We start from the raw sequence: 4,669 nt of genomic DNA, 5'->3' as shown, positions 1-4,669 counted from the left end.
AAAAAATTGTTGTTTTTTTCAAGCCATGAATCAAACTCTGAAATTAGGTGAGTCTCTTCTACCAATTTGGAAACAGGCCAATTTCATTATGTGAACTCTCATCCTCTCTTTAAATACATTTACTACAAAGTTCCTAGCAATGTCTTGTCCAGGTCCAGGTGAAAAACAATTTCACTAACAATAACAACAAAAATTCAAGAAGCAATTTTCATTGTCATTTCTCTCACGTATCACACCACTTTCTAAACCATGTTTCACTTCTGAAATGCTCTCAGTTTGGACTAGTCTATAATATAAACATTCTATTTTCTATTCAGTTTTGTAACAGCTGTAATGAGGTATAATTTACATGCTATAAAATTCACTAGTATAATTCAGTGATTTTTAGTAAATTCACAGACCTGTGCAGCCATCAGCACAATTGAATTTTAAAACTCTATTTATGCTTACATTGTTTTAATGATTTTTTTTTGTATGTTCATTACCTGCCATGGATGAGATAAGAAGAGTTTTTATAACTGGATAAAGGAATAGAGGGAAAATATTATAGGCAAAAAAGTTAGTATTCATTTATTCATTCATTTGTTCATCCATCCATCCATCCATCCATCCATTCATCCATCCATTCATTGATTTAACAGATACTGTGTTCTTAGCAGAGGCCAGGTCTGGGGCTTAGTGCTTTTAATAGAAAGATTTTTCAGACATAATCTGGTGGGTGGACAAAAAATTTAGCCTTATTACTACTATGAACATGACAGTGCTATCATAGGGTATTCACAGGGCAAGGTGGAATGCACAGGAGGTTAGAGCCGGCTCCCTGGAAGAAGGGCTTTTGAAGAGTGGGTGAGCAGTAGCCAGTCAAAAAGAGCAAGGCTGCGTCAGTGCTTATGGTCTCACCACCCTGCGCCTGTCTCTAAGCAGGTTTGACCTGGGGCATTCAGCAGGCATAGCAGAGCCTGGAATCCCAGCCTGGGGAGGTGAAGGGAGTGGTGAGGCTGGAGGAGAAAACAGGGACCAGACCTGATGGACCCTGAGCAGGCTCTCAAGAAGTCTTTGTTCACATGCAAGGCAATTCAAATTACTTATTAGATTTTCCTGGTCTTGAGGATTTGAGAAATTGTACCCTGTAAGATTTAGCCTCCTTCACGTTCATTGTATGAAAATATCTGAATGTAACTGCGATTTTATGTGAGAAAATAGGGTTCTCCTTTTATCTTTCAAGATCAACACATGATTATCTATTAACCCGGCTTCCATATCATTTACATGTATAATAGTTCAAAGTCTTTGATTCCAAAAGAGAGAGGAAAATATTAATAGAGAGAAAGATTGAGAAAGAGAGAAAGGAGAGAAACGCTGACGGTGTATGCTAATAAATTTAATATAGAGAGAATTTCTGGCAATGATTTTCAGTTTCAGTATTTAAGTTGATCCTAGTCATGATTCATTATTCCAGGATTCACTTCCAAAGTCAAGGGTCTGAGGAAGCTGAGGAAGCTTTTCTCAGTGTGGATTCTAGGGCTACTAGACTAACACTTTGCTTACTGTGGGACTAAATGTTCTTTGGATATTGACATTGTAGAACTAATATCTGCTTGGACACATTATGTGCTTCCCTGCATCTCTCATGGCCAAGAAGCCCACAGAAAAAGCCCCAGCATGTATGTCTTCAGCTGGCTGTGGATAATTAGGGAGTCTGCTTCGTGTGTTGCCTCCCTGGGAAGAGAGCTAGCTCAATCCATTGGTATGGATTGTTCTGCCAGTGTAACATGATCGTCAATTACTGCCCAGCCTGTTAAGCAGACTGTCCTCTCAAGATAACTGAAACACAACTGGAGTCCCTGACTAGTCCATCCTCTACAAGAAATGTGAATGTCATCCCAGCCAGGTAAAACTCTTTAATCAGAAAATATATTTTGTTCCTTGCAGTTGGCTAACCTCCTGGTCAAATAAAATGAATATTTTCAATTAAGGTCCAAGAATGGTTTCAACAATAATTTTTCTTTTCAGAGAGAGCAAATTCTAGAAGTGGTTGGTTTTTTTTCATTCTCTGAATCTACATACCAGGAAACCCTGTGGATGAAGGTGGAAAGGCTGATCCCTCTTATCTAGTCTGACACTAATAAAGCTGTTAACAAGGTTCAACTGAAGCAACAATGGATAAGAAGAGCAGAGCCGAATTCCTTAGATCAGCCCTATTAAGTTAGACAGATGTCAAGTTTAATCAATCTGGTGACCTTAAGGACTTTGGGAAATGCCCTTTTTTATATCTTAATGCTGTTTTTAGCTGTTGCATTAACCTGTTTTGCATAGATGTAATTACCCTTCATAGATATTATGTAATCAGGGCAGTTTAAACTTATCTATCAGTTTTATTTATCTGTACCTTATAATAGAAAAGCTTCCTAGCATATTACTTACTTTAAATTTAAGGGATTTAAAGAAATTAATTTCAGGGCAGTTTTTATTTATTTGTTTTAGCTGTACTTAATAATAGAAAAGCTTCTTGGTGTGTCAATTTCCTTAAATTTAAGAATGAACATACAGGCTAGGCACAGTGGCTTATGCCTTTAATCTCAGCATTTCAGGAGGCCGAGGCAGGTGGATCACTTGAGCCCAGGAGTTCAAGACCAGCCTGAGCAACATAGCAAGTCCCTATTTCTACAAAATATTTTTTAAAGTAGCCAGGTGTGGTGGCTTGTGTGTGTCTGTAGCCCCAGCTACTTGGAAGGCTGAGATGGGAGGATCACTTGAAACTGGGAGATTGAGGTTGCAGTGAGTGGAGATCGCACCACTGTACTCCAGCCTGGGTGGCAGAGTGAGACCTTGCCTCAAAAAGAACAAAAGAAGAAAAAAAAAGAGAGACAGAATGAACATACACACAAGAATAAAAAAATAGAGCCTATAAAAATGCATATTTAAGATACCCAAGTATAGTTGGATACTATATGTATTTATGGTTTGGGGAGAGTGACTTAAGGTATGCATGTGATTATAAATAGGCCTGTTTATGCATTTTGTTAATGAACTAGTACACTTCTTTCAACTATCATTTAAAGAATTCATTGACAGCTGACTCGAGTTGTTGTTTTCTCTAGTGGCCGATACCTAGAAATGCAACGTTTCACAGTTAGGGAGTTGTTTCTTTGAAATGAGACTTTCCAGCACAAGTGATAATGACCTCAAAAAATTTACATATGAACAGTTGGATGTTTAATATAGCGTTTTTAAAAAGTAAATTATTACGGGTGGAAGAGAGGGCATGCGGGATAATAGTAAGAGTTGAGGTGGTGGAGTAGAAATGATAGGAAAAGATGGGCAAAGAAAGTGGAGTGGGGAACCTGGGGGCTTTGAAAACTGACTTTACAATCTTTCCTGGGTTTTGAGCAGATCATTAATTCTATCAGTGAATATTCATTAAACACCTGCTCTGTACTCAGTAGTGTGTTGAAAATTATCTGTCATTTGCCTTTTGGTTGGACTTTGTAGATTGTGGAGTAAAAGGAATTCAATGAAGAAGAATAATCTATAACAACTATTCTGCCTTTAGCTCCCTGGAGTGGGCCTTATAGTGGTAGATTTCTATCTTGTCTTTATAGAAATGAGAAGATAAACACTTTATTGTCACTTCTAGTTAAAAGCTAACTATATTCAAACTGAAGTTGGATACATGTAGGTTGTATTTCAGATCCTAGAGCACAAATGACATCCAAACTTTAGGCAGGGGGATTAAGCGTCATTTCCTCATCTGCTTACTGCGGGGCTAAATATTCTTTGGATATTGACATTGCAGAGCTAATATCTGCTTGGACACATTGTGCACTCCTCTGCATCTCTCATGGCCAAGAAACTCACAGAAAAAGCCCCAGTATGTATGGTTTCAGCTGGCTGTGGATAATTAGGGTGTCTGCTTCATGTGCTGGCCCCCTGGGAGGACAGCTAGCTCAATCTATTGGTATGGATTGTTCTGCTAGATGACTGTAATACCTTCCTCATGGGTGGTTGTGAGAATGACAAAAATATATTTAACATACTTGGAATGTATTTAAAGTGCCTTACAAAAATTAATTAAAGGCACAGTGCCTGGGACAAATGAGGAAGTCCCTGTCAATTGTAGGAGGAGAAACACAATGAGAGGAGATCCATCAGGAAGTGAGCACCTGATCTAGCCAAGGGGTGAAGAGGTCCTAGTTATAGTGAAAGCTGTGGAAATAGGATTAAGTTACTTTTTACAAGAATTACTTATTGTACAAGCAATATTACAGCAACAATATGAGAAATCAAAGTCAAACAAAAATTACTCCAATACAAACATTTCTCAGATTCTAACAGTCCTTTAAAATTTGCTCATGTTCTTATCTACTCCTTGTTTACATGCACACATGTGATGCAACTATAATACAGGCACAATTTTACATTCTCTGCTTTTTTTCCCTTATGTAATTAAATTACTTGTTTACCTGATATTGGACACTAAGTTGTTTCTGGATCTTTTCACTATAATGAATCTTGTAGCAACAAAAATCTTTGTGCTAGTACTTTTGCTCATCTTTCAGGCTATTTCCTTAGAAGACATTTCTTGGGTGGGAATAACTGGTGAGAGGTCATGAACATTTTATGTCTTTAAGAGTATTGCCAAATGGGTTTCCAAAAAGGTTGTTCTGGT

The 4,669-nt window shown here is 37.8% G+C and overlaps 1 annotated feature.

The window, feature by feature from the left end:
• Positions 3,633-4,321: an enhancer, noted in NCBI's record as "OCT4-NANOG hESC enhancer chr2:148242866-148243554 (GRCh37/hg19 assembly coordinates)". NCBI's record gives its function as "activates a minimal SCP1, AML or CMV promoter by ChIP-STARR-seq in primed H9 embryonic stem cells {active_cell/tissue: H9 hESC(primed)}" and the evidence as "EXISTENCE:reporter gene assay evidence [ECO:0000049][PMID:30033119]".

This window comes from Homo sapiens, chromosome 2, assembly GCF_000001405.40.
Source record: "Homo sapiens chromosome 2, GRCh38.p14 Primary Assembly".
Classification (NCBI taxonomy): Eukaryota; Metazoa; Chordata; class Mammalia; order Primates; family Hominidae; genus Homo; species Homo sapiens.
This window is presented reverse-complemented; position numbering and strand designations above follow the sequence as displayed.